Source organism: Homo sapiens, chromosome 1 (genome assembly GCF_000001405.40).
Source record: "Homo sapiens chromosome 1, GRCh38.p14 Primary Assembly".
NCBI lineage: Eukaryota > Metazoa > Chordata > Mammalia > Primates > Hominidae > Homo > Homo sapiens.
The window spans coordinates 97,534,448-97,548,303 of NC_000001.11; the positions used below are offsets into that span (position 1 = coordinate 97,534,448).

Genomic DNA, 13,856 nt, shown 5'->3' on the forward strand with positions numbered 1-13,856 from the left:
AGTAAGCTGGTTATTGAAAAGAACAGTAGAACCGAGAACAGAAAAACTTGGGTTCTACCCCCAGCATTGCCATTAACTAGTTTTAACACCTTAAGAAAGGCATTACATTTTTTTCTTTTATTTTTTATGGATGTTATTCTTTTCTTTATCTCTTTGAGGATATTTAACAATTTTTACAACATTTTCAGATAATTCTATTATTGTTGTATTCTTCTGAGTAAATTATCTTACTATGTGAATTTACTCTTTTAAATCCAGTTCCTCAGCTTCCTAACTCATGGCCAACTACATCTTAACCAAATCCAGTATAGTTCTCCATTTTTTTAAATGGGAAAATGGTTAATCCATAGGTAATTTTGCACACAATGTGAATGCTAAGCCTCTAAAAACAATCAACCATAATGGGTATTCAATAAATTAGATTTTTAATTTTTTATATATATTATTTGAGTTTTAGAACCATATAAAATTATAATTCTGCCCCTTCCATGAATGAAAATGATGAGGTTCAAGATAACGTATTGGAGATTTTAAAAGTTGTTAAGTCCTTGAGCTGGGAATTCTACCTCTATGATGACAAAGTTCTGTCTCAGAGACATAAGTGAGAAAACCAAAAAGGCAACATGATATTCCCAAAAGTCTGAAGGCAGAATTACTGAGCAATTAGTTCACAACTTGAACCCAGACTGCTTGACTTTCAGGATGCCATTATACCATCCTGGATATTTTTTGATCTGATCCTTTACAGCTTGTTTGAGATTCAACTTTACTAAATCACTGAATTCAGAAGAACACAATTCTGGTCAAAATTTCTAACTAGGTTATTTTGTATTTAAATTCTCCACAGCAAACTAAAGATTTTGGGTGTTTTGTTTTATTGTGCTACATTGCCATTAGACCCAGCAGACCCCATGCATTAGAGCGCTGAAAATTTGGCATGGGATGCATAACACTTCTACTCTATTTGGACCAATTGATACTGCAGTGGTTAATTTCCTTAATACTCCATCAACATGAACTAAGGTTAGATTCCCTACGTATTGGATCAGATTTTTCAGTTAGTTTTTATTTCTGCCATTCTAATCTTCAATTATCTCTGCCTGAAGTAGCAATCTATTGCTATATGGGTAAGGAAATATTCTGTCTTTATGGAGACAATTTCATTTTAAATTACTTTTCAGGTCAAACACTGCCATTTAATAAAAGTTTGGAACCTATACAAAGTCAATAAAAGGCATTAAAATTACTTATTAGTCATGGTATTTTCTTTCTCTATCACCAACTAGACAGTTTTGTTTTGATAGCTCCATTAGGTACAGCCTCATTGCTCATTTTTTCCTTGACTTCCTTTTAGAACATATGGATGTTACAAAAAATAAATTCTCCTTTACAAACAAAAACCTTCACATTATTAGGAATATAATTGTTAATAGAAAAAGTGTCAAGTATCTGATGCATAATAATTATTTAAAAATATTAGCTGAAGAACACATCACAATTTAACCTGAATGTACTATCAAAGAGGAAAATTATGTGGAGAGTACTATAGGGTTTAATGTATGTTTATTTATAAGCAACTGAAGAAGACTTCATTTTTCTATGACTGTAAGCAAATTTGACTTTACTACTTGCCATTGCGAGAGATAAAGGTGAGATCACATACATTTCTGGTACTAGTTAAGTCTAAAGGCCCAGTTTCCCAATGAGACTGACCTGAAGTCATCTCAACAGTATGATCCTGACCCAGTGGAAAAACTTAGCATGGAAACAGCATTTAGCCATGACATACTTCAATATTATTTTTTGGAGGCTATCACTATCTCAAACTAAACCCATTATGATTTAAAACTGTCTTTTTATTGATATTCATTGTTTTTCAACCTGACAGTGGCCAATGATTTATATCAATCTTCTCTTAACACAGGAATAAAAGAGTTTGCAACATATCTTAAACTGAAGGACACTTTTTCAGTAAGTCTCAAGATTTTAATACAGTTGTCATTTCAAAAGCCTACCTCTTCTCAGTTGGAAAGGTTTAGAGAAGAAGAAGTCAGCTCTGTTGATAAGATTGTTTTTATCTGAAGCAGTAGAGGATTCAAAAATTAGTATGACATATCGATGATGCCCTTTCTTCAGGCATTTTTATTCTTTAAGTGCAAGAACACTGCAGCTGGCTGTCAATCATTAAACTACAAAATGAAATCCTTTGCCTGGCTAGGAGATTTGCAACTATACTGATGCTGGTAAACTAAACACCAAATTATAGCCTTTTCTCTTGCCTCACCCAGATTTCACAGGGGCTGCACACCCAAATAAATGCCTCTTGGCTACCCATTCATCTAACAGCTGGAAAGATGACACTTGACATTTGGAAACTTTCCTGTGAAGATTGCTGCAAGGCTTTCCCATTAGCTTCCTGGTGAGACTGTAAGGTCGAATAAGCTGCCTCAAAACCTGCAAAGGGTAACGGAAATACTCTAATATTAAGCCTGTGCAATTTAAATTTCTAATTCTCGAATCATAGTTCTTCAGATATTGTAGAAATCACTGGTATATTTCAGGGCAAAAGAATGCCTTTGAAGATGTGAAATTAAAGTGATATTTTAAGCAATGATAATGATAACAAGTGTCTTTTATTTAAAGTTGGGACTGAAGGTCTTCTAAGTAACAGGGACTTCAACACAGAGAAGTTCTTGTAAGTTTGTTTTCTAAAATCCCTGACTGTCATATTTTCAACAACTGTTCATCTTTGTCCAGAGCAGAAATCTTTAACACGAGGCAGAGTTATTACCATTCTTCACTTTTTTTCCCACATCATAAGCATTATTGAAGGTAGCTTTAAAATTCTTACAACCCAGCATTGTGGATTCATTTCAAAAATTACTGCCCCCAACATAAAATAAAATAGTAAATATGCCATTATTAAAATGCTGTCATCTTATAAAATTTTCAGGTATAAACAAGCCTTTTTTCCTCTTCAGAAAGATAATTCCTTTAAAATGTCCCCAAATCAGAAATTGTTAATAAAATGACAGTTTATTAAAGATAGCAGAAAGACAAAATTCCTCACATAATCTCAACCCAAAAAAGAATGTAAAAAATTTCATTTATTGATATGAATGCACACAATTCAATTAGATTTTATCACAATGATCTTTTTCCATGATACTCAATTTGGAATTCCATATTTTTAATTGTCTTTATAATTGTCTGTTCTTGTTTGTTAACTAAGTATTTTTCAAGTGAAAGATTAACAAGAATGAAAAGGCTTCCCTAAATGTTCAGTCATATGTCCAAATTAGATGAAATTAATGTCATGATTAAAAAGGAAACTGAAACCTTTAAAAAATATACGTTGAGGGCATTGAAGAAATGGAAGACATGAATGATGTAACTTTCAATCTTGAATTCATCATCATCTGAGACTAAAATCACTTTTTAAAAGTTCAGGACCAGCCTGACCAACAAAACTAACTGGGCGTGGTGGCATATGCCTGTAATCCCAGCTACTTGGGAGGCTGAGGCCAGAGAATCGCTTGAACCCGGGAGGCGGAGGTTGCAGTGAGCCAAGATCGTGCCATTGCACTCCAGCCTGGGCAACAATAGTGAAACTCTGTCTCAAAAAAAAAAAAAAAAGTCAATTTAGTGATGCTGAATTGTACCTCATTAGCAATGGATGTGCACCTCTTGGCCCCAAATCACGGCATAAACCTAGTTTTCTCATGCCATTCCATTAACGAATCCACCAAAAGGAAGCTCAGCTCACAGAAAGAAGATGGAATATCTAGCAATGACTGGACTTCTCATTTCTCTTCAAACCAAAACCACAGCTACCATTTGTACTCACTCTACTGCAGGTCTATGGCATGAATTTGTCTCCACTAGGTCTTGAAATCACACATTCATTTCACATAGCCTATTGAACTGCCATCAGATGGTAATGACTTTCTGTCACTCTTGACCTGGGGCAGATTTGAACTAGTGACCAAGAGGTTAAAGGCTCTGTATCTCATTACCAATCCCCTGAGATACTTAGTTCCCTCAACCACTAGTGATTTTTTTTGTGCCTCAGTCAAGCCAGAAGAAAATACACACAGAAAAAATCTAAGCAGTAGAAAAGTAGGTCACCAATGCAAGACATCTATGATAGTTCTCATGAACCTAATAAACACCTATTTCAAAATATACCCATATACTACATGTACCTGAGTAGAATCACAGTAACTGTTAAAGAACTTCATTGTAACTTTCAATAGTATTTCACATAAGCTACCATTAAGCTGAAAAACACTGCAGAGAAACTGAAGATACTTGTGCTTCATGAGCTTACAGGGTTAAGGAATGTATTTTAGATTCAGTATCATTCCAGAATATTTGTGTGTGTGTCTTGTGTATCTATTCTAAAATAATTCTGCCTCACAAGTTAGTTTCAGAGGGGGGTTGACAAATTGGAAGAAATAATATAGATTCATAAATGAAATAATCAAAACATTATCAAACACCTTAACGTGGACACTTACTATAGGAATACAGCATATTTTAATAAGGATAAAGTTTGCTGAAGAAAACAGAAGAATAGTATTTAGGAACATATATTTAGGCAAACATATATATATACAGTAGTAGAAATATTGAACCTAAGCCAACAATGAAAAAATTAACTTTTTGTTGTTGTTTTTATTGTTGTTGAAGGTTGACTTCAAATGCTGGCTGCTAATAAACAATATTCTATAACTATTCAACGGCAATTATTCTGTACATAACTAAGTAGGCAGTGACTCCTGAAGTCACTTAGAAATATGTACTCAAATTTTTTTTAAATTTAATGCCCTGACGCCTCCTTCCTTACACTTTGCATTTTCCCCTAAATGTTTGATTTTCATGGAATGAATCCCACTTGGAAGAAAATAGATCTTTTCCTTTTCATTTCTTGCCTATATTTAAAATGGTGCTCTATACAAATTATTTTATTTGAATTTCTACCTCTACCTGTTGATTCCATATTTATCCTTCTATTAATAACTCTTATTTTTTGTCTCTCAATATATATATATTTCTACCACAACTGCTTTTGTAGCAGCAACATGTACATTTAGTTGTTCCCTTCCACTACTGGTAATAAATACTGTGGCTTTTTAAACGTTGCATCTAAAATATAGAGAATTGAAAACAATTCTTAATAAAAGAATAATGACACGGCAAAAATAACTCTAATGATGTAACAAACCAGTTAGTTTTGTGATTATAATTTCTATAAAGATCAACATTATTTGACAAAATGTTCCATGTTTATAAGAGCTCCTTCTCAGGACTACCATGACTACTGAAGGGACAATGAGCTTCTGATCTGGGATTATAATTTAGAATAATTTAGTTTGTGTTCTATCTCCAAGTTTTTTCTCAGTGGCAGGACAAAACATGATGAGATATCCATATAGCCTTTTTCTCTCCACTTTTTGCAACCAAATCTGTCTATATGCTAATACTAGAACAAAGTAAGTGCTCCGCCTTCTGAATGCTGTGTGAGTGGATAAAACAAACTCAGTTTCTCCACTAAAATCTCACAACACGCTTCTGACACCAGGTGTGTGCGAACTGCTCCCCACCAGCAAGCAAGCAAGCAATCAATTCTGTAGTGGACACAAGCTGAATGTCTTCTAATTCAGCTCAATTCTGACACTATCTACCTGATGATAGCACCAGTTCCTACAGGTTGAGAGCTCATTCCCCAAAACTGCCCCCTACCACTTCAAATGCCAATAACAAGCCCCAGGTTATTTTACCTGTGCTTCTGACCAACCAGCTATAAACTGGGATTCCCACAACCCCTTCTTCGGGTTAGATTAACTGGTTAGAGCAGCTTACAGAACCCGGGGTGGGGGGTGGGGGGTGGGGGTGGCGGCGGGGCAGGGAACAAAACAAAACAAAACAAAACAAAACAAAACAAAAACCAAACTTTTACTAGTTTATTACAAAGAGTATTTTAAAGGATACAAACACAACAGTCAGATGAAGAGACACATAGGGCAAGGTCTGAAAGGGCCCCCAGAGCAGAAGCTTCTGTCCCTGTGGAGCTGGGGTGTGCCACCTTCTTGGCACACGGAAGCGTTCTAGTTTACTTTCCTGGAAGCACCCCCGTCACCCATATTTGTCTATTGGCAAGTTCTCAGAACCTAGTCCATTTGAGTTTTTATGGAAAGTTCATTACATAGGCATGATTGATTAGATCATTGGCCACTGTCAATCAACTTAACCTTCAGCCCCTTGACTCTCCCCGGAGGTTGGGGAGCAGGGCTGAAAGTCCCAATCCTAGTCCTGCCTCAGTCCTTCTGGTGACTAGCCCCTATCCTGTAGTTACCTATGGGCTGTCAGCCATCAGTCAACTCATTAGCATACACACACACACACATACTCATCACTTTGGAGATTCCAAAGATTTTAGGAGTTGTATGCCAGGAAACAGGGTAAAGATGAAAATTTCACAATATCACCATGTGTTTTTATAAATTAGTAACATTGGATATTAATTCAGTCTCTATTTGGTGCTTTTGTAATGAAGAAACTGAGGTCCTCTACATGCTCTCTTAACCAAGTTGGTTGCATCTGACAGATTTACTGGACTATTTCCTTCCCTTGTTTTCCTCCCTAAGAGACACAAAAGATGGCCAAGTAATGCTGATGCTTTATAACCAGTGGTACCCCTGTATACCTACGAAATTTCTGCTTTTATTAGTTGAGTTGTCTACTTATCAAGAGTCAGCTGTATGTTTCTCGCCCTGTTTCTGTTGGATATAAATGTAAATAAATAAACATTAATTAGTTATATGGATGCAAAAAGAAAGAAGGTTGATTCTATGAAAACTAAGTTGAATGTTCTTGAAGGATATGATAAAAATGAGTTACTTAAAAAATACTGCTGTCAAATTAGGTGTTGGTCAAACCACTGAAATGACTGCAGGACAAACATAAAAATCTGGAAAATTGCATTGTATGATTCTCGAAGGTCTTGTACCACTTTTAAAAATGAAAATGGTAGACAATATGTTATAGATAGATTTAGGCAAGATACATAATACACATCTGGCTATTTTATTTAAAAACATCTTGGCCCTGGATTTTTTTAAAAGAAAAAGGAAAATGAGAAAATATCTATATGCTTTAAATAAAATTATAAGCTTTGGTCATGTGCTGCTTATGTAATAAATAATAAAATGATGAGGTTAATGTATGTGTATATCCTTTTTACAGTTTCCCATTTTAACTTTTTCTGATTAACCAACAAAGTATTAATTTTGGTTTCATAGGAAAAGAGAAATTAAGGAATTAAACTAATTAAGGAATTCATTTAGCTATAGTCATTCTTTCAGTTACAAATTCTTTCTTTAGGTACACTGTCAAAATTATCTTTCGTATTCAGTAATTCTTATTCATTTGGTAGAAGAAAATAAATATGCCTGGACTCCACTAATATCACATTATAAACAATTAAGGTGAAGTCATATTGAATTATTAGTAGAAGTAACTAAAAAAGTAAATTTAATATTATAACAGAATGACACTTAAGAAGGGAATTTCTGACAAACTGGAAAACGCTTTTCTTCACATTAATACCAGATCTGACACTACCATATCATTTCTATACATGAACAATTCCTACCACATTACCTACTCCAAATTGAAATCCTAGCTAGGCAATCTCATCATGTTCTACTCCTGGTATAATTACTGAACTTTCTCTCTCTCATTTTTCCTATATAATCTCTATATTCAGAGCTTCCATTTGTCCACCCTATGCTTTTTGGTGAAATAAAAAGGAGTTGCTGCACAGTGCAAAACTTATGGACCAAACAGAGAACATCTTTATGAAAATTTGAGGAAGGTACTCCCTCCTCTGTATAGAAGCAGAACAACAAAAGGTTTTATTGTTTGATTAGTGGAGCTTGGTCTGGATTTCAGCCAGCTTGTACCCTGGTCTGGGTACCCCTCATGGAGTGAGCAACATATAAAATCTTATCCAGTAGCCTTCTTTAAATCCCAGTAAATCTAATTACCCAGTATTATTCTAATTTTTCTTATTCTTTTTAAATTTTGTTTCTTGTTGTTTGTGATGTCCTTGCTGATTCCACATCCTAATACCCACATCCAGATGGAATCAGTCATTGTCTCTTCCAGGTTACCTTTGTAACTTGATGCTTTTTATTATTGTGTTAAGTATGCTATATTGGGCTTACATTTACACAACTCACTTCTTTACTAGACAATAGGATTCTTACTTGCAAATTTAAATCTAATAATTGGTGCTATCTATTATATCCACTACTTTTTAAAATGCATCTTTTGAATGAATGAATTAATTAATGCATAAATGAGATTGATGGATGTATGTGGATGAATAAATTAATGACTAAATAAAATGCTTTTGCAACTACCTAAAATATCCTATTTCAATATTCATCTGTTAAGACTCTATACATCAGATTTCTATTCAAATTTCCTATTTGCCATCTTTTTCCTGATCTCGTTTTAACAATACAAGGTGAATGATTTCTAATAACCCACAACAATGGTATACACAACAAATATTCACAAAGCTTAGTCTTTACCAAGAGCTTTCCATACTTTCTTTCATAATCTTCTGCAAGACCCAAGAAGATAGCAGCTCTAATTATTATTTTAAGTAATAATAATAATTTATAATTGCTTATTCACTTCTATACCCTGGAGTGCTGAAGTAACCTGTCCAAGGTAACATGATTGGAAAGTGTTGGAACTGGATCTGATGTCTTCTCTGTAGTTCAGAGAGCCCAAATTTATAACCACTATATTATACTGCTCTTATTTATGCATTGTGGTACCCTCCCGAAGTCAAGTGTGGGCCCAAAGGCTATTACTTAATAAGTGGTAATTGAGCAAATTAACTGATGAAATTTAAGTGAAGCTCTCCTCAGAGAAATTGCCTCCACTTTCTCCCAACATGGATGTCTTCAAACAATCACATTTATCTGAAAATGCATATTACAAAGAATTTCTAAACACCCAATTGCATGCATTAATACTATAATCTGTTTATAAAATCATATTTTAAAATAAGCTATTCAATGTTACCTTTTCCCCCAAAACAAACTAATGTAAAATATAAGACAAAATGTCATAAGCCTTAGTTGTGAAACATACTATAGACATTACAGAAATTTTTTTAACAAATGCTACATTTGTGAGAAAACAATATTATATGCTAATGAACTTATCATATAACAAACTCATTAGTTTTCTTAACTCCTCCTTAAATGTATTTAAGATAAATGATTTCTGCATATTTTTCCTATGTAATAGATGAATACTTTATTTTGAGGGTACAGCAATACATAAACATGGTTCCTAGCTTGTGCAGAGACAGACCAGTAAGCAGGCTTCAAACAAGGAGCACAAAGGAAGTTCATGTCACAAACTCCCTGGACGAGGAGGAGAAAGCCAATCCTGAAGGACAAGTGGGACTCAACCAGAGGGAAATGGGTGAAGTGGGGGAAAGGCCCAGATTCAGGAGAAATCTTGGTATGCTTGGGGACATTCAAATCAGCATCTCAAAGCTAAGAAGTTTGGCCTTTACCTTGAGTGTGAGTAAAAGTCATTGAAGGGTTTTAAATGAGCTAATTAGGATTCAACTGATAATCTAGAAAGATGACTCTGGCTGCAGTGTAGGGGCATTGGATTTGACAGGAGAGAAAGTGGAGGCAATTTCAAGAGAGGTGATAGAGGCCAGAACTAAGTTAATGACAATGTGGAGAGAGAAAAATCCCACTTTGTCTATATGTACCTTGTTAGCCTTATCGCTGCTTAGCACTTTGCATCCAACACCCTGGCAGGAAGGTGGAAATGTTGATTTTACTTGACAGAGATTTTTACCTACCTTCCATCTCTACTCCATTTTAACATGTAATTCAACACTTAGTTTGACAAGTCTGAATCCTTCAACCAAATCCAAAATTCTTACATGGCACAACCTTTATTTTATATTTCAAACACTATCATTCCTAGCAATATGTGTTTTTAAAGCACATGCATGTTTTCTTCATTATAGCTAAAGGTCTGTTTCTCTCCTTTCTCTACACATCAGATTTCTATTCAAACTTCCTATCTGCCATTACATGGAAGTAAAATAATTTCTTTTTTTTTCCAGTACACATTTATTAGATTCAGGAAGTTACAAGACAACAGTGAAATGAACAGAAAAAAAAAAAACATTAAGATTCCTTTAGAATGATATTGTGAAACACCACCAAACTACAATCATAAATATATTTAAGCATTGTTTATTCATTTTAATTTAAAATCTATAAATGGATTTAAATATTTAGGATAAGAACAAAAAACAAAATCCTCCACTGACCTGTGTTCAATTTTACTTTTTCAAATCTTTTTAGCTTCTCTGCCCACATACCATTTTCACTATGAATTCACACATTCACTGGGCTTCATCTGGTCTAACACAAGAACCTCATCTCTTATCCCTTGATTCCACTTTCATTTCTTAAAGGAGCTAGCAGGCTGCTCAGTAAGATTTCTGGTCAATCAAAATTATAACTCCACACAAAAGATAAAATAAAATAAGGGTATAAAAGAGTTTTTAAGAGATAGAATAAGAATTGACCAGTTATATAGAAAAGAGAGAAGAATAAAACTTAGATAAGTAGTTGGTAAATACAGCTATGTACCGTTTTGTCTTATAATGAAAAAAAATTATGTGCATGTTGTATATGTGCACCAATGTAAATCTTTTAACTGTACTTTCTTGAGCGTATCTCTTATTCTGAGACTCTAGCCTTTCCTAACTTTTTCATAAAGTGTCCTATTAATTTATATAAATAAATGTCAGTTTCCTTTGTTCTAATATTGTTATTCTGTAAAAGAAGAAGCCATCAGCATTGTATTGATTTCCAAATCAATGTTGAAATTTTAATTATTCTGAGTAATTTATGAGGACCACTAACTTAGTAGGTTTGAACCTGGAAATAAAAAATGTTAAATACTGGAGTTGGAGCAAGTTGGGAAGAAATGTTTGACTTAAAAGCAGTGAATCTGAAATGTAGGAAAGACATTTACATGAAGATGTTTGGTGAATATGAAAAGTAGATTAGAGACACAAGGGAAGATATTCAGTGGACTGCTGGATTATGCAAGAGAGTGCCCTGTTGGAGGTACAGATTAGAGAGTTACACAGCAGGAGGTAAGATTAAAAACTGTGAAACTAAAAACTGCCAACTAATAGTAATGGCCCCGAACCGTGAAGAAAGGGAATTTCGTGCTCCAACTTTGGCATCCCTAGAAAACTGCATGAAGCTTTCTCAGATGGCCGTTCAGGGACTTCAGCAATTTAAGTCTCCCCTTCTGCAGCTCCCTTACATTGAAGAGGACAATCTTAGACAGGTTTCTAATCATAAGAAGTATAAAATTTAAACTATCCAGGATTTGGTGAGTTTAAAGAATCAGATTGTCATACTCTACTGCACTTCCTTGAAGATGAAAAATATGAAGAGGTTATGGCTGTCCTTGGGAGTTTTCCATATGTGACCATGAATATAAAATCACAGGTGTTAGATGATGAAGACAGCAACAACATCACAGTAGGATCCTTAGTTACAGTGCTGGTTAAGTTGACAAGGCAAACAATGGCTGAAGTATTTGAAAAGGAGCAGTCCTTCTGTGCTGCAGAGGAACAGCCAGCAGAAGATGGGCAGGGTGAAACTAACAAGAACAGGACAAAACGAGGATGGCAACAGAAGAGTAAAGGACCCAAGAAAACTGCTAAATCAAAAAAAAAGAAACCTTTAAAAAAAAAAACCTGCACCTGTGCTATTACCACAGTCAAAGCAACAGAAACAAAAGCTGGCAAATGGAGTTGTTGGGAATGAAGCTGCAGTAAAGGAAGATGAAGAAGAAGTTTCAGATAAGGGCAGTGATTCTGAAGAAGAAGAAACCAATAGAGATTCCTGAAGTGAGAAAGATGATGGTAGTGACAGAGACTCTGATAGAGAGCAAGATGAAAAACAAAACAAAGATGATGAAGCAGAGTGGCAAGAATTACTACAAAGCATACAGCAAGAAGAGAGCGCTCTATTGGAAACCAAATCAAAAATAACACATCCTGTGTATAGCCTTTACTTTCCTGAGGAAAAACAAGAATGGTGGTGGCTTTACATTGCAGATAGGAAGGAGCAGACATTAATATCCATGCCATATCATGTGTGTACACTAAAAGATACAGAGGAAGTAGAGCTGAAGTTTCCTGCACCAGGCAAGCCTGGAAATTATCAGTATACTGTGTTTCTGAGATCAGACTCCTATATGGGTTTGGATCAGATTAAACCATTGAAGTTGGAAGTTCATGAGGCCAAGCCTGTGCCAGAAAATCACCCACAGTGGGATACAGCAATAGAGGGGGATGAAGACCAGGAGGACAGTGAGGGCTTTGAAGATAGCTTTGAGGAAGAAGAGGAGGAAGAGGAAGATGATGACTAAGCAGTACTCTGAATGGACCATAGTGTTTGCACATATTTGCAATTTTTTGCTGTTTTGGAAGTTTATCATAAACCAGAAACAGTACAGAACTGATGTTGAGGGAGGTGTAGTTTTTTTACTCTAGAAATGGGTGCATAATATAACTAGGCAGTGGCAGTGCCTTGGTACAACCTGAAAAATGTTAAGGCTTACTGAAACCTTTCAAGTATGGGATGGTGCATTTATTTCATCTGCAAATGATAATAAATCCTTTGTTATTATTAAAAAAAACTGTGAAATTACTCTGAAAATAAGAGTAGAATGAGAAAATAAAAACAGGAAGATAGTTTGGGGGGCAGGAAATGCAGAAGGAGGCAAAGTAGGGAACCATCCACTCCCTGAGTGGATAGCTGTCCTTTGCTGCTTCCTCTGTCTGAGGCAATAAACACTTGGTAAAGCATAGTGCTGCTATCTATCCTTCAGTCACTGCAAAGACTGGAGCCTGAACCACTCACCAACTTGTCTCCTTTGGGTTTTCCAGTGTCTGTCTCTGTTTAAATTGTGTTCTTTTTCTTTCTTTCTTTCTTTGCCTAGCCTAGTCCCTTTTGATGTATAACTTTTTAAAGTTTTAAAATTTTAGATTTGGCATCTCCCTAGATGCTATTTCCTGAATCAAAGCTTTGTCTCTTTGCAAAATCCACAGGCTCCTTTCTCTCTCTTTCTCTCTCGTTGTTTTGTTGTTGTTGTTGTTGTTTAAAGATGAGGTCTCACTCTGTCACCCAGGCTAGAGTGCAGTGGTGTGATCATAGCTCACTATAGCCTCCAACTTCTGGGCTTAAGTAATCCTCCCACCTCAGTCTCCCAATTACCTCATTCATTTTGAGATTCCTACATTTCTGGGACACCACGGTTTGGCCCAACAACTCAAGCCCCACTACTCAAAGATGCCAAGGAGGAGGTGGAAGTAGGCAGGTGAATCAAACTTTTAAAAGATGATACTATCAGTGTCAAGTCCAGGCCCTACCTAGCAAATAAGTAGGTCCTGCATTAGTTACACAAACATGAGAAGGACAACTAGAATAGACAAAATGGTCATGGAAAAGAGGAAGAAATTAAAGGAAGCATTAAAGATAAAGTGAATTTTGTTAGCATGTGGGAAACAAACAAGAGAACCAAAACAAGAGTGGTAAAAACAAGAGTGGTAAAAAGGCATAGTGTGAGCACTCTTCCTTGAATAGGAAAGAAAGAATAAAAATTTTATTAACAAGAGCAAATTTTCCAGGAACATTTTACATAAATGAGGTAACTGTATCTACATTTAATTAAATCACAGAACAAAAAGAAAACAAAGCATTTAGTCG

At 35.2% G+C, this 13,856-nt stretch overlaps 1 protein-coding gene and 1 pseudogene across 6 annotated transcripts in view; one reads left to right on the forward strand and one right to left on the reverse strand.

Moving 5' to 3' along the window:
* Nucleotides 1–13,856, reverse strand: part of DPYD (dihydropyrimidine dehydrogenase) — an 843,317-nt gene that overhangs the window by 456,705 nt on the left and 372,756 nt on the right. The window lies entirely within an intron of this gene.
* On the forward strand, nucleotides 11,242–12,713 carry SEC63P1 (SEC63 homolog, protein translocation regulator pseudogene 1; annotated as a pseudogene).